Source organism: Homo sapiens, chromosome 4 (assembly GCF_000001405.40).
Source record: "Homo sapiens chromosome 4, GRCh38.p14 Primary Assembly".
Lineage (NCBI taxonomy): Eukaryota > Metazoa > Chordata > Mammalia > Primates > Hominidae > Homo > Homo sapiens.
Window position 1 is genome coordinate 168692839 of NC_000004.12, and position 25112 is coordinate 168717950.

General features: G+C 39.2%; 1 protein-coding gene across 17 annotated transcripts in view; it reads left to right on the top strand.

Annotated features, from left to right (window-relative positions):
- The window catches only part of PALLD (palladin, cytoskeletal associated protein), a 431390-nt gene that overhangs the window by 195787 nt on the left and 210491 nt on the right, over positions 1-25112 (top strand). For all 17 annotated transcript variants that reach the window (XM_011531768.3, XM_011531769.3, XM_011531771.3 and 14 more), the window contains 2 exons: positions 16190-16309; positions 18743-19085. In XM_011531768.3, coding sequence (XP_011530070.1) covers positions 16190-16309; positions 18743-19085 — 463 coding nt within the window. The remainder of the gene's footprint in view (positions 1-16189; positions 16310-18742; positions 19086-25112) is intronic.

A 25112-nucleotide genomic window follows, 5' to 3' on the forward strand; every position in this document is an offset into this window, starting at 1 on the left:
ACGTTGTCATCATGCACATAGGTGATGATGATTTATCAAATGTAGGTTGGAAAATCACAAACAGTCATCTGCAAAGTCAAAACATTAGTTAGAAACTGCACAGCTTAGTTTTCAGTATGTGTATATTTGAAAAGGGAAAACACTCAGAATATGCTAGCTAAGGAAGAATAAATTTGGATGAGGAGGGAGGAAGGAAACATCTCCCCCGCACCCTGCGTCTTCATCACTTATCCTACATACGCTCCTTCTGTTTCAGATCTCCCCCGCGCCCTGCATCTTCATCACTTACCCTACATACACTCCTTCTGTTTCACATCTACCCTGCGCCCTGCGTCTTCATCACTTATCCTACATACACTCCTTCTGTTTCAGATCTCCCCTGCGCCCTGCATCTTCATCACTTACCCTACATACACTCCTTCTGTTTCACATCTACCCTGCGCCCTGTGTCCTTATCACTTACCCTATATACACTCCTTCTGTTTCAGTTAGTTTGTTGCTTTGCTTCTAAACTATAGTTTTGATTGTGAATTATTTAATAAAATTAGTCCTAAACAGCTTCATGGAATCACCTGACCTCTAGAACGTACTTAAATGCCATTTGCTTTAATGTAGCAAAATCATGCAGAAAAGAGCAAGATATGGAAGGCCTTCCTTTTAAATCCCTTGTCCTAGCAATGCAGAAAAATGTTTCCTCTTTGTGTTCACTGAATTTTCTTATTTACATAGTTAGATCTGAAAGCGTTTAAGAAAACAGATTCCTTCATTCCAACTACAATAATAGCATTTTCTGAAAAATTTCTCCTGGCAGAGAAATATTTCTAGCAAATCTGTCAATACACCAAAAAATATTATATAGTCAGGAGCTATTAAAAACTAACACAATGAGTTTTCCTGACCTACGATGATTTCTCCACAATTGTTTTTACCATGACACGACGAGACTTTCTTCTTTCCCTTTTACAGCGTTAAAATGCTGTGCTTCAGGAAATCAGCCGTTGGCATGCAGCATTAAATAAAATCCATGATCATGTTTTTTAAACAAAAAAAACCCTTAAACACATGAATGACCACGCAAGTGACTAATTATATGAGTTGTTGTGAGTAAGAACTTCAGAACAAGCAAATGTTACAGTGTATTTGTGCTTAAACAATGTTTTGTCATGCCTGTCAAAACTAGGTATGATTCTTTTACTAGTTGCCAAGTGTTTTCCTTACATTGACCTTGAAGTTGCTATGTCAGAGGAAAAAACAAAAAATAAATATGACTGTTTACCTTCTTTAAATGACCTGATTGACTGTTATATCTAATGGACCTCTGAGCTATTAAACTATATAGAAGTATGTAGGAACCGGCTTCCCTAAAAACTGTTTTCTTAGCCATTGTTAAGTGGAAGGAAGAAAAACAGACGTGACTACAATACATCTGAGGCAAGAGATAAATTTTATAGGACTAGGTCAGTGATATTTTCCAAATGCTAAAACATAAATAGCCTTTGAAATTCAGGAAAACATTTAAGCATTCTGTTTTTATTACTGTCTCTTCCTACCCTCTTCCTTTCCTCTGAGAGAGTCACTCTTGCTCGCTCTCTCCCCCTCCTCTCTGTCTCTTTCTCTCCCCTCACCTCCTTCATTCCCTGCCTCTCTTCCTCTTTCTCCATCTCACTCCCTCATTCTTTTTATTTATTTTTTCTTTACTCTTCTCTTTACTCTCTTCTCTTTACTCTCTTCCTTATTCATGGGCAAGATGTTTTAAAGCTCCAGAAATAAAGTTGAAATTCCCTAGTACCTAGATATAGCCCCATTAGGAATTAGATATTTAGATAAAGAAGGAAATAGCAGGTTGTCTCCAAATGGATCTGTGCAACTGAAACAGGTTTTTCTTGTCACTGCTGCGTCGTATCTGTCTGATGTGTTTTACACTCCCCTCTCTGTCTAGACAGAAGTCAGCTTGCATCACAAATCTTTTCAGACTGTTTTGTGAATTAATAGCTAGTCAGCTTACTTAAGACCAACATCCGTTTGTCATAGTACCTTCTCTGGCCTTCTTTGAAATTCTGACTTTGTACTGATAGACTCCTTCAAAGACTAGTCTGGGGGTGGGGGACACAGAAGACTCATTTGACAGCTGTTAATACTCAGTCTCTTACTCACTCAGCTGTCTGGAAACAGCCACAAACTGTGTTGAGTTACTTCTATAGCACTGTCTAATAGCGTGCAAAATTAAAAACACAAAAACGCGTCTTACTGGTTGTGGAATTATACATATAAAAGTATATTGCCTCCTGCTTTCAATTTTAATTTCTGCTCACCAGTGTGACCCATGCTAGATCTTGTACGGTAGAGTCTAGGCTTTGATTCTCTGATTCAAAATATAAAGTAAGTTACACTTAGTTAAATGTACTAAGGTGCTGTTGTAGGAGGGCAATGATAGGGATGTTTCTTGAGATCCCAGTAGATTGTATGCAGTAAAAACTTAATGCATGTTCTAGGTTAGGACGGTGGGTTGAACAAAAGTAGGCCATATGAAACTTATAGTTCACCAAGAGTGTGACAGGATGCCCTGGGGTGCCACACCACGCTGACAGGGATGCTGTAATATATTTGAAATTTTTTTATGCAAACACATTCAAACTTGACATTTGACAGATATGACACAATGACTGGCTTGAACTAGTTCAGAATTTCAACATTAGATCACCCTCCATTCTTTTCTATGACATAATCTCTTTGTGAAACTGAGTTTTTGATGAGTGTGTGATAAAAAGTAAGTACCTCATGAAAATCCATGTAAAACATGAAATGAGGCTGGCTCATCCAATCTGATTCCAAGAGAGGTGGTACAGTGCCCAGCAGATGCACACAGCCATTAGTAAGAAATAGTGGTTATTTAAGAATAAAATAATAGTATTTTTCTTTCAATTTATATGTATTTTTAAACACTAAATTGTTTAGGCATAAACACTTATTAAGTTCTTTGGAAATAACTACATAACAAACATAACTATTAGTTATGTCTTTTGGCTTAGGAGCACCATTTAAAAAGTATTGAGAAACTTAGAGTCCCATGAACCAAGAAAGTTTGTTTTACTCTCTAGAGGAGGAGTGTCCAATCTTTTGAATTCCCTGGGCCACACTGGAAGAAGAATTACCTGGGGTCACATATAAAATACACTAACACTAATCATAGCTTTTGAGCTTAAAAAAAAAATCTCATAATGTTTTAGGAAAGTTTATGAATTTATGTTGGGCCACATTCAAAGCTGTCCTGGGCCACATGTGGCTCAGAGGCCACGGGTTGGACAAGCTTGCTCTAGAGGGAGAGGGGGAAGACTCAAGACACATTTGAGTACACAGCAAAAAGAAAATTGAGTGGGTTTTGAAATTCTTAATGCCAAATGTGCCTATTTCCAGTCCTCTTCCAGGACTCACATTCCAGCCTGCTGGCCTATGAACTTTACCTCTCTCAGCAGAGACTGAAGGACTCTTCTCTGGGCAATTTAAACATCCCGAGAGAAAAAATAAATCCAAAGATAATGATTTGGGAGTTTCTCTTATAAAGATGCCACTTAGATTGTGCTATAGGGAAGGCCAAAGTGGATAAGTTCCTCTCTTATACTCAGAGCTTAATAAACTCCCATCCCTGTCAGACAAGCAGAGAGAAAAGGCATCTGGAGAAAACCTCTAGCATGAATGATATAGAAAAAAACAAGTGACCTTCCTAAAAGGGAACTTTGAGAAAATGGGTTTGCAAAGAGAGGAAAATGTAAAACAAAAACAAACAAACAAAATCTCTCTTAAAGGATCCAAGGAAATCATTCCACCCAAGAAATAAAAATGAAAAGCTAGAAAAAAAAAAGAGAGGGGAGGACACTTGTAAAACAGAGTTCTTGAAATGAAAAGTTCATAGCAGAAATAAAACGAGCAGATGTCCCACAAAGTACAGCAAAATGACGAAGAAGGGATGTAAGAGAGAAAAGGCAACAAAGTTAGAGATGCATAGCTGAATAACTGGGATTCCAGAAGGAGAGAAGAAAGAAGCGGCGAGAGACAGGATTATCAATGAAATAATTTTTTTAAAGTTCCCCAAACTGAAAGTTATCAATTGCCAGATGGAAAAATCCACTGATTGCACAACATATGGAATAAACCCAGACCCAGGCACGTCATCATGAAATTCAGAATTTCCAGGACAAGGAGATCATGTTATAAGTGTCCTGGGAGAAAACATCAGGTTATATATACAAACTAGCAAGATGCAAATAGCTTAGGCCTTCTCAGCAGTCACACTAGACACAACGAGACAATGAAGCAAGAACTTCAAAATTGTGAAAAAAGTTACCTACAACTTGGAATTCTGCCCCTAGGCAAAACTTCACATGGAAATCTAGCAAAGATATTTTCAGACTTGTAAGATCCCCCAAATTTTCCTCTGGAACCCGACAGTGTGCTCCACCACAGCAAGAGAATTAATCCAGAAAGGACAAGATGTAGAGGTGGGGTACAGGAAGCAGGAGATCACATAGAAGCAAGAGGCAAAGGGCATCCCCAGGAGGGTGACAGCTGTGCATCAGGAATGAAGGGCAAGTTCAGATTGAAGCCTCGTGTCTCGAGGGACAAATGCAATGAGGCTTTCATCATTAGGAGGTTCATTGCCTCTGGTCCAGCCCGTCTTTTATTTGGATGACAGAATGGCAGGGCGGTAAGCCTGACCCAGAAATCTCATGTCTACTTGGGCTGTCCTGCTCTCCCCTCCATGGACTGTCACCTGGATCAGCTGGGAACACTCATCTTACCCCCACAGAAGCGTTCTGCTTTGGTCAGTCCTGACATCTAGAAGTCGGCCATGTTGAGTTTAATTAACCCATCTATGCCTGAGGTTGCAATTTTTTGAATTTTTGCAATCAGACCTTGACGATGACCTTGAGCAGTAGGATATAAGTAACTCCCAAATGCTTAGCATTCCAATAATGGAACACTAGGCATAAATGGGTAAAAAGCAGAAAATACCAGCAATCTCATTGCTGGATATATACCCAAAAGAAAGGAAGTCAGTATATCAAATAGATATCTGCACTCCCATGTTTGTTGCAGCACTATTCACAATAGTTAAGATTTGGAAGCAACCTAAGTATCCATCAACAGATGCATGGCTAAAGGAAATGTGGTACATATACTCGATGGAGTACTATTCAGCCATAAGAAGGAATGAGATCCTATCATTTGCAACAACATGGATGGAACTGGAGCTCATTATGTTAAGTGAAATAAGGCAGACACAGAAAGACAAACATCACATGTTCTTACTTATTTGTGTGATCTAAAAATCGAAACAGTAGAAGGATGGCTACCAGAGGCTGGGAGGGGTATTGAGAGGCTGTGGGGGGAGATGCAGATGGTTAATTGGTACAAAAATATAGTTAGAAAGAAAGAATAAGACCTAGTATTTGATAGCACAACAGGGTGACTGTAGTCAATAAGAAATTAATTGTACATTTTAAAATAACTATAAGAGTGTAATTGGATTGTTTAATTGGAGTATAATTGGATTGAATAACTAAAAGAATAAATATTATAGGGGACAGATACCCTGTTCTCCATGATGTGATTATTTCACACTGCATGCCCTTATCAAAACATGTCATGTACCCAGTAAATATATATACTTCCTATGTAACCACAATTTTTTTTAATTTAAAGAAACAAAATATGGAGATACCATCTCCAGCAACAACTATATTCCTGCTGGATGCCCACATGAGGCCCCACCAGACTGCTCCACCGAGTGAGCCTTATATTTCCCAGATTCACTCAAGACCTTACCCACTGAGTGCCCCGTGGGGCTTTTGGAAACTTTCAAGGACGTTGAATCTAGTTGATGGCCCAAGATGGTTCTTGGGATCTTTTTCCTAACAGTGACAAGGTTACTTTTTCTTTAGTCAGCCAAGATTTGTGCTCACTACTTAATTTTTTTAAACTAAAGAATGCATTTTTTAAGGATACATACATATATGGTAAACACATAAAGAAAATCGAAGGAATTATTATCTCAAAGGAGAAGGAAAATTAAATTGGGGAGAGCCTATGAGGTATTTCTAAAGCACTGGGAATGTTTTATTTCATAGACTTGAGGATAGATACACAGGGGTTCATTTCACTGTTATTCGTTAAATGGTACATTTTAAATATCCTTCTTTATATATGATATTAAATACAATTGACAATTTAAAAAAATCCTTTGCAATTTTTTTCTTTTCTGAGACAGAGTCTTGATCTGTTGCCCAGGCTGCAGTGCAGTGGCATGATCTTGGTTCACTGCAACCTCTGCCTTCCAGGTTCAAGTGATTCTCCTGCCTTAGCCTCCCAAGTAGCTGGAATTACAGGCATCCACCACCACGCCCAGCTAATCTTTGTATTTTTAGTAGAGATGGGATTTTGCCATGTTGGCCAGGCTGGTCTCGAGCTGCTGACCTCAGGTGATCCACCAGCCTCAGCCTCCCAAAGTGCTAGGATTACAGGCGTGAGTTACTGCACCCAGCCTCCTGTGCAAATATTGATACAAGCATTACATTTACCCACACTGGATTTCATCTTGTTGATTTTAGCTCAGAGTTCTTTTTTACCAACTGTGTTAGCCAAACCATGTGGTGTGAAAGGTAAAAGCTGGATTTCTTTTTTAGGGACTTGGGACAAAAAAAAAAAAAACAGTTGCAAAGGAAGCCATTTATGAAAATGTCCCCTTATTACCCAGGGAACCCAGTAATCTTATCCTTGCTGCCTCATCATTTTATGAGTTTCCACAAACAAAATGGTTTTTATTTGTATTTAACCAAGTGTTAAGTAGGTCCAGGAACTTGAATGCAATTCAAGGTTGCCTTCTGGGAGATATTGCTGTGATTTTGTAATTTTTAGGTAACTATAAAGAACAGAATTTATCACCAGTAAAAACAGTTTCTGATTTAGTAATTTATTAAATGCCCTCAAATCAAAACCTTAGGAAATCCAAACATGGGAAAATTAGATTAAAATGCATCATAATTAAGGTTATTAATAACTTTAAATTTTTCCATTTATACTGGAGACAGTTTCTTTAGTACAGATAAGTAAGTCTCTAAATCCCTTTATGTGACATAAGCAGTCATTTTCTGATTTCCATTCCTTACCAAAATTTATTTTACAGATGTCTTATACGTCTTTGTTCGAGTGAGATGCCACCAGATGAAAATTCAGTATTACAACCTGGCTCATCTCATTTCCTCATGGCTTTCTTCATTTTTATAATGTCAGAACCATACAAGCTATGATGCTTCTTTCTCTCAACAAAATGTGAGCCTCTTGTCACTGTTGGATGAACTTTTCTTTGAGAAGAAAAGCTGAGGAACCTGTGGGACATTGTATTCAAATTTTATCTAGTTAAAAAAAAATTATCTAGCAAAAATTGCTGTGACATTTCAATGCATGAGGATCACTAAAAGAACATCCTAGTGTTTATTTTTTATTTTTCTATTTTTGTTCTTTAATTCTGTAATTTTTCTAAATGTTCCACGTGAACTATATACAGGCATATACCTTATTTATGCATGGAAGTATTCCTATAAAATCATACACAATGAATTCTGCTCAATCAACTTTGAAACACACAAAGGAAGCTTGTAGGAAAATTGGTCTTACTGAGAATTCCTTTAGAAAATAGTCTTTTTACAAAGCAAGTGTTTTTTTCCTTCATCTAAATTTCATGCATGCATTTATTTAAACATAATTATAGGGAGCCTACCATGTGTGAGATGCTAAGAATATGGCCATGAACAAAAATTGTTTCTGCACTCAGAGGTTATATTTCAGCGAACCAGAAACTAACAAACTAATTACACAATAAATTATTTAGCAGGGTGAGGTGGCACATAGTCCCAGCTACCCAGGAGGCTGAGGCAGGAGGATTGCTTGAGCCCAGGAGTTCAAGGCTGCAGTGAGCTATGATCATGCCACTTCACTCCAGCCTGGGCAACAGTGAAACCCCTGTTTCTAAAAAAAAGATTTTAAAAATAAAATAAAACAAAATTGCACCAGCTTTATTTGATTTTGTGATTGTCTTCTACTGTCTGTTAAAATCTCCCACTAGAGGCCTGGGCAACAGAGCAAGACCCTACCTTTATGAGTCAATAGATAGATAGATATTATTTAATTACAGTTGTGATGATATTATTTGTGATAGATATTATTTCATTACAGTTGTGATGTCTCCAAAAAAGTTTACCATCCTAAAATTGCTTTAAGGTGGTCAAACTGATTAAGTTTAATAAAAAAAGGGATTCTCTGAGAAAGTAATGTTTGTGGGGAAACATAAGACTGAGTAGGAGAGTGCCAAGTACTCCAGGAGGAGCCAGGGCTTAGAAACTTACCAGAGCGTGGCTTCACAAGGAGCTGCCCCAGAGCCCATGTGCCCAGTGCTCAGAAGGCAATGATGTGCGAGGCACAGAAGGAGCCTGACAAGAAGCAGGGACCTAATTATGCAGGGCTTCAGAGACCATGTTAAAATTTTTTATTTTATCCTCAAAGTCATGGAAGGATGGGAGGATGATAAAATTTCGTTCTTATTAAGAGAGCCCTCTGATTTAGAAGGGGCAACTGTATATTCATCCTCAGGTTTTCTGAAAAATGGCATGACTAAAAGAACCACAAAGTCGTAGAAGCATCAGAAGGAATTCTTTACAAGTCATCAAGATCATCGATCTAAAACCACTTTATATTATCCCTACTGAATAAAATTGTATCCTGTTTTTAAATGTAGGTTTCAAGGCACAGAATTATGTCTATGTTTATAGTTGAAGCATCCTCAGGCATTGAACTGGCAAGGACATTTCTCTCAGTGTTCCCAGAACCTCTGTCTTTCCAGGTGTAGATGATTCAAGGTTGAGAGAAGTGCTTCCCAGAGAGCACTAAGCCCTGGGAAGATAGTCCAGGGACGTAAGCCCTGGTTGTCTAGGCAGGAAGTGCCCAGGTGTTACTGAAAGCTGAGAAGCCTTCACCACTCACAGCAGCATCTGCGAAGGGAGAAGGAAAGTGACTTAGCACTGCCTGAAGCCCACTACTCCAAACCTCGTAAGAAGGGGCTGTTAAGCATGTCCACATTACAAGCTTATATCCTGTTCCAATGTGTCTTATACCTCAGAGGACATATTGCCCTCCCCTTGTGCAGATGAATAATTCTCATGAATCATTTGGATAATGAGAATAATTAGTTTTTTCAGCATCGGGAAACTCCATTTCCTGACTTAAATCTTTCATTACCTTACTTTATGTAAGATTTCTTGTGTCCTGAACTAGGAAAAATGCAGAACTAGAGAGGCTAGAAAAAAAGAACATCAGCTCTAGAAAAAAAGAACATCAGCTCTAGAAAAAAAGAACATGTGCTCTAGAAAAACAGACCATCAGCTGGGTGTAGTGGCTCACTCCTGTAATCCCAGCACTTTGGGAGGCTGAGGCGGGTGGATCACCTGAGGTCAGGAGTTCGAGACCAGCCTGACCAACATGGTGAAACCCTGTCTCTACTAAAAATACAAAAAAAGTTAGCTGGGCATGGTGGTGTGCACCTGTAATTCCAGCTACTTGGGAGGCTGAGGCAGGAGAATCACTTGAATCTGGAAGGCGGAGGTTGCAGTGAGCCAAGATAGCACCATTGCACTCCAGCCTGGGCGACAAGTGAAACTCCATCTCAAAAAGAAAGAAAAAAAGAACATGCGTGTCGGAGATGGGACGCCAACCTTCAGCATTTTGGCTCTAGCATTAATTAGCCAGGACCCTGAGAGAATCACTTTGAACACCCAGGATTCATTGATATTGAGCCTGAAGAAATGAGGGATTTGACCTAATCAATCTCTTACAGTACTGATCTTGTATGTCCCCTTCTATGGCTAACCACACTTTTAACTCATTCTGTAACCATATGCATTCAATTTAAAATTTCCCAATCCCTTGTAACTTTCCAGAGACATCTCACTTTCCAAATGATTAATCTTTTTTTTAACTTTGTTTTTATTTTATTTATTTATTTATTTTATTTATTTATTTATTTATTTTTTATTATTATACTTTAAGTTTTAGGGTACATGTGCACATTGTGCAGGTTAGTTACATATGTATACATGTGCCATGCTGGTGCGCTGCACCCACTAACTCGTCATCTAGCATTAGGTATATCTCCCAATGCTATCCCTCCCCCCTCCCCCCACCCCACAACAGTCCCCAGAGTGTGATATTCCCCTTCCTGTGTCCATGTAATCTCATTGTTCAGTTCCCACCTATGAGTGAGAATATGCGGTGTTTGGTTTTTTGTTCTTGCGATAGTTTACTGAGAATGATGATTTCCAATTTCATCCATGTCCCTACAAAGGACATGAACTCATCATTGTTTATGGCTGCATAGTATTCCATGGTGTATATGTGCCACATTTTCTTAATCCAGTCTATCATTGTTGGACATTTGGGTTGGTTCCAAGTCTTTGCTATTGTGAATAGTGCCGCAATAAACATACGTGTGCATGTGTCTTTATAGCAGCATGATTTATAGTCCTTTGGGTATATACCCAGTAATGGGATGGCTGGGTCAAATGATATTTCCAGTTCTAGATCCCTGAGGAATCGCCACACTGACTTCCGCAATGGTTGAACTAGTTTACAGTCCCACCAACAGTGTAAAAGTGTTCCTATTTCTCCACATCCTCTCCAGCACCTGTTGTTTCCTGACTTTTTAATGATTGCCATTCTAACTGGTGTGAGATGGTATCTCATTGTGGTTTTGATTTGCATTTCTCTGATGGCCAGTGATGATGAGCATTTTTTCATGTGTCTTTTGGCTGCATAAATGTCTTCTTTTGAGAAGTGTCTGTTCATATCCTTTGCCCACTTTTTGATGGGGTTGTTTGTTTTTTTCTTGTAAATTTGTTTGAGTTCATTGTAGATTCTGGATATTAGCCCTTTGTCAGATGAGTAGGTTGCGAACATTTTCTCCCATTCTGTAGGTTGCCTGTTCACTCTGATGGTAGTTTCTTTTGCCGTGCAGAAGCTCTTTAGTTTAATTAGATCCCATGTGTCAATTTTGGCTTTTGTTGCCATTGCTTTTGGTGTTTTAAGACATGAAGTCCTTGCCCATGCAGGCTACAGTAACCAAAACAGCATGGTATTGGTACCAAAACAGATATATGGATCAATGGAACAGAACAGAGCCCTCAGAAATAACGCCACATATCTACAACTATCTGATCTTTGACAAACCTGAGAAAAACAGGCAATGGGGAAAGGATTCCCTATTTAATAAATGGTGCTGGGAAAACTGGCTAGCCATATGTAGAAAGCTGAAACTGGATCCCTTCCTTACACCTTATACAAAAATTAATTCAAGATGGATTAAAGACTTAAACATTAGACCTAAAACCATAAAAACCCTAGAAGAAAACCTAGGCATTACCATTCATGACATAGGCATGGACAATTTTTAATTATTTAAAAGATAGAGAACCATATACCTGTTTGTACCTTAAAAAATTTGTATGTTGACTGGACGCGGTGGCTCACGCCTGTAATCCCAGCACTTTGGGAGGCTGAGGCGGGTGGATCACGAGGTGAGGAGATCCAGACCATCCTGGCTAACACAGTGAAACCCCGTCTCTACTAAAAATACAAAAAAATTAGCCGGGCGGGCGCCTGTAGTCCCAGCTACTGGGCAGGCTGAGGCAGGAGAATGGCATGAACCCGGGAGGCGGAGCTTGCAGTGAGCCGAGATTGCGCCACTGCACCTCCAGCCTGGGCGACAGCACGAGACTCTGTCTCAAAAAAAAAAAAAAAAAAAAAATGTGTATGTTGTATTTGTATTACCTATTCAAAAAAATAAAAATTTTTAAATGGTAGAGATAAATCTTAAGAATAAAGAAAAAGAAGACAATTCAGGAAACTACATTTGGTTCTGTTTTTACAGACTCAATAGGAGGGGTTGCAAAGCTATCAAGACAAGTGGGAGAAAAAGACCAAAAAGATCCTGTCTTTGTGATTATAGGATCATTATAGTAGATCAAATATTTGGTCAATTTTTTAAAATACTGCATAATGAACTAGAATTTTAATTTCAGAAGTTTGAAATAAACTTTTAATTTTTAATTGCCTAAAAATTTTAATTCTATATTATATTTCCTACTTACATCTTATATTTCAAAAAATTTTTGCCAAAGAAAGTTTCTGGCAAACATTTTTGCTTGCAGGTGACTTAACTGCGTTTTTAAGACAGCACAATTTTGAAGGAAAGAGAGAAGGAGGGCTTAAAAAACTATACCATTGTCATGTGGGCATTAAGAGTGTAAGCTTTTGGAGTTGGAATAGACCTGATGATTTTCTCATTCAAGTTTAATTCATGTAAAAGATGTGTCTCAACCCCTTGATAAGATTACAGGAAACTCAAAGGCAGGAACCATTAATTATCTCCATATCTGCAGCTATAAAATATTAAGACAGTGTACTCTTAAAAATGCTTAACAAGTGGGTAGATGACTATAAAAGCTTCTAGGAGCTGTTCATGGATGGAGATTCCAGACTTTATCTCAAAAAATTTTCTCGACATCTTAAAACCTTTCCTTAACAAGTCTTTCCATTCATTTAACCCACCTTCTGCTCTCTTGCTGCAATTAGGAACCGTTTGTTCTTATTGTTCTTCAAGAAAGATGTAGAATGTTTGAGCAACTTCTTCCTGATTTTAATGTCTTTGCATTTATGATACCCATCACAGTGTTTTACTTAAATTAGCATTTTTGGCTTTCTTTTTTTCTTTTGAGACAGAGTTTCACTTTTGTTGCCCAGGCTGGAGTGCAGTGGCCCGATCTTGGCTCACTGCAACCTCTGCCTCCCGGGTTCAAGCAATTCTCCTGCCTCAGCCTCTCAAGTAGCTGGGATTACAGGCACCTGCCACCATGCCTGGCTAATTTTTTTGTGTGTGTTTTTAGGAGAGATGGGGTTTCACCATGTTGCCCAGGTTGGTCTTGAACTCCTGACCTCAAGTGATCCGCCTGCCTCGGCCTCCCAAAGTGCTGGGATTACAGGCATGAGCCACTGCGCCTGGCCTTAAATTACCATAAATGGATGAATACTTAATATAGATTTCATTGCCCTTTACTTTTTTTATTATGGTTAAAGAAACATATAACATGAAATCTACCTTCTTAAATTTTTAAGTATACACTACAGTATTGTTAACTGTATGCTTAATGTTGTGCAGCAGATGTCTAGAACGTTTTCATCTTGCATGAGTGAAACTATGCCCACTGAACAGCAACTGCCATTCCTCCTTGCCCCCAATGCTTGGCAGCCAGCATTCGACCTTCTGCTTCTAAGAGTATGACTAGTTTAGATACCTCTTAAGTGGAATTTTGCAGTATTTCTCCTACTGTCATTGCCCTTTACTTTTACCTCAACTAAATAATTTAGATTCAATGTAGAACACAAAATTAATAATAGAACATAAAGAATAAACTAAGTTTTTCACACCCCATTCAAACATCAAATTGAATAATATGCTGAAAGAATAAGGTGTGTGTTTTTACAACTCTTGCAATTTTAAACCTGTATTAATATATCTTAGAAATGAGTTGACCTTGAGCTACACTACAATGCTAAACTCTCAGAAGCTTATAATCACCGTAGTCCTCAGATCTTTCCTAAGGAACGTAACATTTTGACACAGAAGAATCCTTGCATTTTAGCTTTTAACAAAATCTCAAGCAGTCTGTTAACCAGATTACCATCAGCATCATCAGAAATGGGGAAAAGGAAAGGCTTTGGTGGGTGGGGCAGGGGGTTGATAAAACCTAAGAATGGAGTGAGAAATCGAGTAAAACTCAATGATGCCTATAGGCCATATTACTTGGTAATACAAAAAAATAGATATATATATTTGACCCAATAACACGACATCAAAAACTATATAGTTTGATAATACTTGGACAAATTTTGAAATGATAGATACATGAATTTTTTTCTAGAATCAAATACAACAAACTCTGCATTTGCCTTTGAAGAGTGAGATTATTAAGGGGTATTAGGTATATAAAGGGAATTCGATTATAAAGAGAAACATTTACACTTTATTTTATACTTAGTGTTTAATTTATTTACTTTTGCACTTATTAATTTGATGTATAGGTAAAAAATTAAAATATTTAAAGCTCTCTTCAATAGACAAAAATGTTTTTTTTAAACATATCACTTTTACCTACAGTTAGTACTTCTTTTGTTTCAGGGTTTAAAACATAAAATGTTTTGAAACAGATTTGCTGATTTTCATTATTGATGGTCTGAAACGTTTGCTCTTAGAAGGATGTTAGTGAAGGAGGTTTATCTTATCAAATTCTATGAGTTAGCTACTGCAATACAGTAGAGCACCCCAAAATTTAGTTGCTTAAAGCAGCAACCATAATTCGGTGGGTGAACTATTTGGCTTGACCTCAGCTGGGTGGTTTTTGTGGTCTGTGCCAGGCTAGGCTGACCACAGCTGGGCTGTCTCAGTGCGGCCATGGTCAGCTGCCAGGATGACGAGGAACGAGTCAGTTAGTCTAGGATGGTCTCTTTTGGAAGGGCTTATGTCTGCTCCATATGGTCTCTTCCTCCTACAGGTTAGCACAGCCTTGTTCACCTAAGGGTTCATCAGGGTTCCAAGAGATGGAGCAGAAACAGGCCAGGCCTCTCAAGGATTTGGCTCAGAATTGGCCAACAACATCACTTTCACCACATTCTAGGCTAAAGCAACTCACAGGGCCAGCCCAGGTTCAACGGATGGGGAAATAGACTCTGCCACTTTATGAAGGTGTTGCAGAGGCACATTAAAAAGAGGCATGTCTACAAAGGAAGGAATAATTGCAGCCATTATTACTAAGAAATGTACAATACACGGTCTTATGCTACCCCCAAAATTTGTGAATAACCAATAGAATCACTTTGTGGGAACCCGAAATATATCACTTTTCTTAACGTTTGCCCACATAATTATCTTTATACTGGTACAATATAAGCAATTATTCAACTAGTAAAACTAATTAATACTCTAGATATAGCTTCCTTTTAATGTTAACAGCTAACACTGGCTATGAAGCATTTGCTCTGTGCCAGGCAATGTCCTAAGCACAGTATGTCATATCACAAAAGTAGGTGGTGGTTAGGGTTTGGAGTCTGGACCCCAGCTTGCTTTGAATCCCTATGTTAGTATTTATTAGCTGTGTGACCTTGGGCAAGTGAATTAACCTTATTGTGCTTCCATTTTCTACCTATAAAATGGGCTAATAATAAACTTACATAACTCATAAGATTGACATGATGATTAGATTTAATCTATGTTAAGTGCTGGTAACAATACCTAGTGTATAGTAAGGGTTATATAGCTGTCAGCTCTTGTTATCGTCATCATCATCATCATCATCCCCCTCACAATAACCGTGTGGTGGTTAATTTTGTGTGTCATGCATGACTAATACAAACTCTGTGAGGTAGCTTCTATTATTGTCTCCATTTTACGGAGAAGAACACTGAAGTTCAGGGAGACTGACCAAAGTCACAAAGGCAAGATGTGGCAGGACCCTCATTCAAGCCCTGGCAGCTGTTTCGAGTCTGGGCTTTTCATGCCCTACAACACTGCCATGCCACTTAACAGTACCTTCCAGAATAGTTGTCTACAGGTCAAACATATACAGGTCATGTTCTTTTTTCCCCCGTGGTTAACATTTCAGAAGAGCTTTATTTTCCCCACTGCTTGGTTTGCAGCTGAGCAGATATAAGAGGTAGCTGTATGTACAGAAAGAACTCTGACATGCAATCAGCTTAACTCCTACATGCAAAATACAGAGCTGCACACTTGCAGACATCTCGTTTTATCTTCACAGATAACCCATTGGGTATGTATTATCCCCATTTTATAGATGAGGACACCGAGACTGCTCTTGTCCAACATCACAAAGAATGGGTCTACCTCCAAAGCTTTTTCTGCTAGGCAGAATTGCTAAATTAAATGTAAAGAGATTCTATTGTAAACACTTTTGTAAAGTGAATCTGTAATAATCATAACCTAATTTGTTTGTTGTGGAAAGGTGGAGGGTCTCACTTCTTAAAAGTGACTTCATGGTTCAACTCTGATGAATGATTCTGTTCTCTTCACTTCCAGAGGAGATTTGCACCCTAGTTATCGCTGAGACTTTCCCTGAAGATGCAGGGATCTTTACATGTTCAGCAAGAAATGATTATGGATCAGCAACCAGCACTGCCCAGCTGGTTGTCACCTCAGGTATGTGAGGAGTAAAAAAAATGACTGGGTTCTGTTCCCCAGCACCAGTGTGGATGGCCACAGCAGAAAGGCACCGTCCTGGCCAGGTGCAGTGGCTCACACCTGTAATCCCAGCACTTTGGGAGGCCGAGGCAGGCAGATCACTTGAGGTGAAGAGTTCGAGACCAGCCTGGTTAACATGGTGAAACCCTGTCTCTACCAAAAATACAAAAATTAGCTGAGTGTGGTGGTGCGTGCCTGTAATCCCAGCTACTCTGGAGGCTGAGGCAGGAGAATCACTTGAACCCAGAAGGTGGATGTGGCCGTGAGCCAAGATCATCCCACTGCACTCCAGCCTGGGTGACAGAGTCAGACTCCATCAAGGAAGGAAGGAAGGAAGGAAGGAAGGAAGGAAGGAAGGAAGGAAGGAAGGAAGGAAGGAAGGAAGGAAGGAAGGAAGGAAGGGAGGGAGGGAGGGAGGGAGGGAAGGAAGGAAGGAAGGAAGGAAGGAAGGAAGGAAGGAAGGGACAAAGCGACTGTCCCAGGAAGAGAGCTCAGCTCAGCCTTCAGGAATCTGGCCACTCCAGGAGTCACCCTAACAATCTAAGTTCATCGTGAAACAAAGGCTTTAGGGGAGGGGAGAAGAAGGAGTGAAGTGGAGATGACAAACAAAAAGATAATGATCGTGTAGCAACTGAACACACAGGGGGCTTTCTTTAAAATCGTGCAGTCTTGGTCTTGGAAACGATGGAGCTGGTTTCCTAACATCCTCCCGCTAACCTAGAATCATATTCACATTGGAAAGCCACCTCTGCATCAGAGGTGCAGTCACTTTCTCAGCAGTGCCAACACATGAGATCTGGAGATACTTGTACAAATAAGCCATTGTCTGATCCACTGTTGAAACTTCTGAAAAGGTAATACAAGATAAGCCTTCTTGTATAAAATGTAATACAAGATAAAACTCAGAGAAGCTGTAAAGGCCTTCAAACTCAAATTTCACTGATAGTCTGTATCAATGATAGTATATAACTAATATGAAAAAGAAAGCAATGTATTGTATTATTGAAGTCAATTTTCAAAAATATATGGATATTTTCTAAACTCAAAAACTTACCACTAGGGAAGGCAATATGAAACAGCTTTTTTTCTTTTTCTTTTCTTTTCTTTTCTTTTTATTTGTCTGTTTTCTAGTTACTAATGAGCATTAGCTTACTTTAATTGCCTCATCTCTGCCATTCATCTTAAAGATATTTTTAAAATATGTTTTTGACCAAGCCTGGAACATAATGTACATAGTAGGGAATCAATAAATGGGTCATTTGTTAAATGATACGGACTTGGAGAGAACAACTGAATTGTACTTGGATTCCTTCAGAAGAGCAAGAACTTGGTGCTAGGTGGCAGCAGAGACACAACCAAAACTTATTTAGGGACCTTAGAGTGGCAACTGTAAATGCTTTTTCATCTTCATTAAGAAAAGAAATGGGAGGGTCATCTTAAGTGGGAAATGGTTTCTGTGAATGACTACTGTAAGTGCTGAAAGAAACCTAAGTGTCAGGATCAGAGTTACAGAGCAAAGAGGACCCCAGCGTTTTGATTCCGAGTTGGCTTCAACACTGTCCCATCAAATGGCCATAGCAGGAGTGCAGTGTTTAAACAATATGGCCAAAACCCTGGGCTCTATAAGTCTGAGTGGCAAAAATTTGTGTGTAATATTTTCCATTTGTTTCTGCAGTAAATCTGCTATAGGTCAAACATAATCAACAAATATTTTATTTCTGAGCTTTTTGTTTACCTCAATAAGCATTTTTGAGTGCATGCCAGGAGCTCTGCTGGGCTGTGTGGGCAAGGTGCAGAATCTAAAAAAGACGTGATCTCAAGATGCTTTCAGCCTATTGAGGGCAACAAATAAAAATCTCTTTCGTACTGAGTTATAGTTGGAGCAATCACCTAATATGGAAAAAAATATTTTTATGAGATTATGAAATTTTACTTGGACTCCAAGGTTTACCTTCCCTAGCTTTAGATGAATATCCACATAAAACCTTTACAGCTTGAGCCAATTTGAGTAGTGACAGCTAGGATGTTCAGTCGGACCCATGGACCAAAACGTGAGAGGACAAAGCATTGTTGGTTGATACTGTTTGTGTTGTCACTTTTTTTGCCAAGTTCTATCTTTAGCTCTTGTTTGGAATTTTTATGATTCGGTAGCTGGGTTCCCCAAATGTGAGCTCAGTCAGGAAATGAAACGGTAGCACTCGTTCAAAACAAGCTTGAAAGAACCAGGCCCTCCAGCTGGCAGTGCTTCTGCGTCAGATGAGAGCAGCACAATCACCTCTTCTTTAACAACTTCACACAACACAGGGATTCTCAGAAGACTCTGACAGTGTGAAATCACTTGTTGAACTAGTGGCATCTTCTTATGTTTTTCCTCTCTTTCCCCTTCCTTAGCCAACACTGAAAACTGTAGTTACGAGTCAATGGGAGAATCCAACAATGACCACTTCCAACACTTTCCACCTCCCCCTCCAATCTTGGAGACAAGTTCCTTGGAGTTGGCTTCAAAGAAACCATCTGAGATCCAGCAGGTGAACAACCCTGAGTTAGGCCTGAGCAGGGCAGCCCTTCAAATGCAATTCAATGCTGCTGAGAGGGAAACGAACGGAGTCCATCCCAGCCGTGGAGTAAATGGACTGATTAACGGCAAAGCTAACAGTAATAAATCTCTTCCAACACCAGCTGTCCTGCTTTCACCCACTAAGGAGCCACCACCTCTGCTTGCCAAACCAAAACTGTGAGTATTTCTGCATGGTTTTATAATAATTTCCATACCCCTGTTACATTTCCTGTCTGGTGAGAAAAAAACTTTTGCCTGTATTCAACTATGTGGCAAGTTGGCCTTGACTCATGGGACCTTGCTGCCAAGTGGTGTCTTTCAACAATATAAAAGACACCTAAAAATAAAGAAGGGAAATGAAAAGCTTGGTGAAATCTGCCCTTTGCTGAAAGCTATAACTGGTTATGGCTGTGAAAATATCTGTGCCCAGTGTGGGCTTCCAACATACAGCTAAGGATGTAGCCACTCCCTGGAGGCCATGGAAAAGGGGGATCTACTTTCAGCCCTTTATTAAAAGCATTTCAAAAAGTGAGTATAAGTACTTTGCATTTGTTACTTTAAATATTAAGTATCAGTAAGAAGATCTGATATAGACAAGCGGGGAAAGACTAAAAACTGAGGCTGGAAATTCAGGGTGCAGATCCTGGCAGGGCAATGAAACTGGAGGGAAGCAGGCTTGTGGGCAAGAAGAGCGCCCTTCACAACACAGGCTACTTGGCTTGGAATTCCATGGAGCTGCATATTTCCATGAATACCATCTTCACAGTTGATGTCCATTATTTTCTTAGGATGATAAACCTTGCATGAGCTGTTTCCATTGGCACCGCACAGCAGAGAGTTGTTATGAATGGAGCCATTACAATGTCAGAGAGAGGCAGAAATAAATTAGCTCAAAGGGTTCTACCATAGCGCAAGAGACCCTGAATTACTGCCCTGCCAGAGGTTAGTGGAAATGTAAGAGTCATAGTGAATGTGTATGTATTCTATGAGGTCACATTCCCATGAGAATGTATTTGCCAGAACCTAGGAAAGCCCCTTCTATTTACCCATATCTGATGTTTTTGATTTGGGGCAGGAAGGGCTTCTTTAGGGGTTATTCTTTATTTCCCTAGCATTGACTAGCCTACTCTTTTCTCTCTGTGATCAGTTCATTTGTTAGAAATGTTAGAATTTAAAAGATATTTGAATTAGAATAACACCTTACCTTTGTACATCACTTTATTGTTTACTGAGTGATTTCATGAACAACATTAGACTAATCAAATAACAAAAGCAGTCAAAAGAATACCTTAAGTTAAGAAATGGGCTAACAATTATATAAAACCAGACTTCTGGACAATCTTGGGTTGCAGTTTCAAAAATCGATATATTGCTACCCTCTACTTAATTTTGCATTGTGTTCTGGCTCTCTTTTAAGACAGTAGGGCTACTCACTAAGCTTGTACACAATAGTGTGAAAGGTGCTGGTGAACATTTAATACCTATGCGCCATCTCCATTCAGAGGCTGAACAGGTATAATGAGCTAAAAAATGGTGTCCTTAAAAGAGATTTATGCTCTTGTAGCAGCAACCCATAAAATTAATTGCCACTGCTGACTTCTTTCATCTTTGCATTTTGAATATGTATTTGCAGTGCTTTTAATGAAACAAGGGACCTGCTCTCCAGGGAGAGAAAGGGCAAATGTGTTGAATGACTAGGACTTGACTGTGGTCTTGATTAAGTAAAGTCTATCTACTCTAATGGGTATCATAAATTGGATGTAAATCACAGGAGAGCAAATACGAGGAGCTGTTAAGAGGCATCTACAGCCCGTCTTATCTCAGGAGTTTCAACAGCTCTGCAGCTTTTAGCTCTGCTTTGCAGCCAGGTTAATGTATATGGCAAGGGGGTAATATCTACAGAATGTAGACAAAACAACTTCGCGTTCATTAAGAGGATGACAGCTTAAGCACAAGTTTAAAGAACATCAGGATTTGCTTGTGAGTGAGATAAAATATGAATATATATAAATATATAAATATAAATATAAGATAAAATATAAAATAAGATGCAGAAAAAATGGACTTAAATGTATGAGGCCCAAATAAATAGGTTACTCTCCCTTCATGAGGAAATTTAAGGGAAAAAGCAGAACACCTAACCACAAAACCCAACAGCTTAGAAACAACATTTACTTGTACTAGGTTTTCCCATTGTTTTTTTTTTTTTTTTTTTTTTTTTTCAAATCTTCGTATGTTTAAACATATTCTTAGGGAATCACTTGATTTTTGTTTTTTCGTGTTGCATATTTACCTGCCATTTAACTAGGTAGAAAATAATATGTGATGATACTTTTTAAATATATATTTTTAAATTTTCTTATGATTTAGAATATGTTATTGGATTTTGTTTTATTACAAAATCAGTGGATGCTTGATGTGACAATTCAAACAACACAGAGGCTATTAAAGTTTATACTCTCTGCTTCCCTTCTTCCAACCCAGCCCTCTGAAAGTTGTGGTATGGTGTATTATCAGAGCCTTTTCTAAAAAAGGTTTTTGCAGTGTTTTCAAAGTTTTCTTTCAGTGTTTGTTCAGTTTTCAAAGTGCTCTTTGCTTCCCCATTTCCACCCCTCTCAAAGGTGTGATATTCTGTATTATCACAACCTTTTCTAAAAAATGGTTTGTTCAGTGTTCTCAAAGTTGTATTATTGATAGAGAAATACTATTGAATGACATCTACAAATAATGTAGAACAGCATCTGAGTTATTGATAATGAATGACTATAGGTAACTGCCAAGTGAAATTCTTACACATTCATTTTTTTCTTTTCATACATTGTGGGAAAATATGAGATTTTATTTGCCTCGTGTGGTCAGCAATGAAAAACTATGGTTTGCTCAAATCTTCTTTTCATCGGTTTATGATTTGATTTTCTTTCACAAAAGGAAAGGCTTATATTTGGTGGCGTTATGGCAGTTTGTGCATCTCCATCATTTGTAAACAAACTAATAGGAAACAATTCGGAGGGCGCAAGTAATAGGAACTAAAATATTTACTCTCACAATGAATTAATCTGAAAATGGTGTCTGATGTGTCAGATGTCTGGGGGAAAGAAGATCATTTTCAAAAAAAAAAAGAAAACTGCATTTTTTTTCTCTCTTGAATAGCTCCAATACTGATTGCGGGAAAAGAAAAAAAAAATTCAAGAATGAAACAAAAACCTGGAAGGGCCATGAGCTCTTTTCTCTAACTAGGCCCAGCCCCCACCCTGTACTGTCCAACAGAAGTCGTCACCTATAGACTCACAGCCATCCCAGACCTCCAGCCGAGTCTGTGGTACCGCTCATAAAGTAGGGGTTCCTGGTCCAGTCTATGATACCTCTCATAAAGTAGGGGTTCCTGGCTCAGTCTGTGGTACCTCTCATAAAGTGAGGGTTCCTGGCCCAGTCTGTGGTACCTCTCATAAAGTGGGGGTTCCTGGCTTAGTATCGTGGACGCATCCACTTCAGCTCCTACATCTCCCTTTGTTTCTAACACTCTCCCTCAAGTGTAAGCAGAAGATAGTTAAATGTAGGCCATTTGGTGAGTCCCAGATGACCTGCACACAGGATTTGTGCAACGCCTTACCACCCGCTGTGGGACTGCGAAGTGTGCTTAAACGCTGCACAAGAAAAAATTAATAGCATTATTTCTGCAACTCAGTGGCTGACACTCACAATCTTCAATCACATCATGAAAGAAGCAACACAATGCTTAAGTCATAATCTTAACAGGAGGAAAAAGGAGGGAATGAGCGTAAACCTAACTTATACACTATTCTTTTCCTTGGTTCCTTGCTGCCCTCTCATTACAAATGATATTTGAAGATCAAAATAAAGGTAGGGCTCACTGTGAAAAATCTCTGCTTCTCTTTATTCCTACCAAAAAAACGGTCCTTCAGCCAGGGCGCGGTGGCTCACCCCTGTAATCCCAGTACTTTGGAAGGCCAAGGTGGGCGGATCACGAGGTCAGGAGATCGAGACCATCCTGGCTAACACAGTGAAACCCCATCTCTTCTAAAGATACAAAAAATTAGCCGGGCGTGGTGGCAGGTGCCTGTAGTCCCAGCTACTCGGGAGGCTGAGGCAGGAGAATGGCGTGAACCCGGAGGGCGGAGCCTGCAGTGAGCCGAGATAGCGCCACTGCCCTCCACCCTGGGTGACAGAGCGACACTCCATCTCAAAAAAAAAAAAGTCAAAACCATAGACATGCATGGAATCCCCCTAGGAATAAGCTCTGAAGGGAAACCTGTGAATGGCAAAATGTGGTAGGCGATTTGCCAAGCATATAGAAAGGCATGGTCATGTTTTTCCACTGAGCTCACCTCCTACGGCAGATCCAACAATATATAAATAACAATATGCTGTTTTCAAATCCCCTTTGTTACTTCCTTTTTTATCTTCTTCCTTTGTCTTGTGGGAGAAAGGTAGGACTCTAAGCCTGTAGACGAGCAAAATGAGAACTCCAAAGGGAGGTTACTGAAGGGTGATGCGATGGGCAAGTTCTTACCCTGGGACAGATCAGCAGATAAAATGATGCTTATTTGTTACTCTAGTGCCAAAAATATGTGCATTACCGTGAAAGTCTGTGTCCTTTTGCCTGGGAAAATAATAATGAAATGATTGTTAAGTGTTTACATGCTAAATCAACAGCTCCCCTTGCTCCTACTCTTACTACTTGCTCTTACCCCAGTCTCTAAAGAAGAAACAGTATTATGATTTTCTATCTTAAAAGAGTAAAACGATTTCAGGCTGAATCAACCTTTTCAAAATTACTGCATTTTACAACCTTTGCTTTTCTCTTCCTTTCTCTCACTCCCACCCTTTGATACCCTATTGTTCTGCAAATCCTGTCTCCAGAGAAAGACATAGCCTATAAAATCATTCATATTGAGCTGTTAGGGATTGTTAGCATCACCTCAGTCCAGTTCTAGGCTAACAAAGTAAAGTACATCTTAATAAGCAATAATAAGCACTGCACAAAATCAGGAAAATATCATTTCATGAGATGATGTGTTTGAGAGATAGAAGAGAAGGAAATAGCAGCCTTTATCATTCTCTTTATTAGTGAGGTTTTCCATATTTGGAAATTCCTGATGGGTTTCCTCCACACTCCTAGACACAAATTGAAGTACAAGTTGTTCCCTTGCCTGGAATGTTCCACTCCCCAGAATGTTCTGCCTCTTATGGCTGGCTCTTACTTGTCTTTCAAATCTCAGCTTAATGTCACCACTTCCCTGACCACCCAGTCTAAAGCAGCCACCCAGCCATGTTCCAATAACTCATCCTCATTAATTATCGCATACCACATAATTATTTCCGACAGTTACTTGCTTTTTGTTTTTTTTAATTGCTCCCTGCCTCCAATATTATAATGTAGCTTCCTGAGAATGGGAACCCTGACTGTCTTATTTCATTGCTCTTTCACTAGGACCCTAGAACAGGGCCTGACAAATAGTAGATGCTCAACGATGTTTTTTGAATGAATGAAGCAAAAGCAGAACAAAAAAGAGGAAAAGAAAGATCTCCCACCTTTAGAGCAACCCCCATTTGATCTGCCTAACGTTCTTTTTTTGTTTTTTTGTTTTTTTTTGAGATGAAGTTTTGCTTTGTCACCTAGGCTGGAGAGCAATGGAGCAATGATGTGATCTTGGCTCACTGCAACCTCCACATCCTGGGTGCAAGTCATTCTCCTGCCTCAGCCTCCCGAGTAGCTGGGATTACAGGCACGTGCCACCACCCCTGGCTAATTTTTGTACTTTTAGTAGAGACCGGGTTTCACCATATTGGCCAGGCTGGTCTCGAACTCCTGACCTCAGGTGATGCACCCACCTCGGCCTCCCAAAGTGCTGGGATATCAGGTGTGAGCCACCATGCCTGGCTGATCTGCCTTTCACCTAGATATACCATAGGACTTCTATTTTCAAACCCCATCAACTCCAGAGTTTTCCCACATTACAGTACTTTTCCAACTGACATCATTTATCTTGTAAACCAAATGAGTATGAAGAATTAAATAAGAATCTCATGGGATAGAATTACATTAGAAAAGTTTGTCCAAGTTACTTAATTTGGGAACACTTTCAACTCCTTCCTCATTTCTTCTGTGTTCTCATTTGATTAGCATCTTAATTTAAAACATTATGAAAAATGAGACATTCGGAAGGACTAGGAGGACATTTT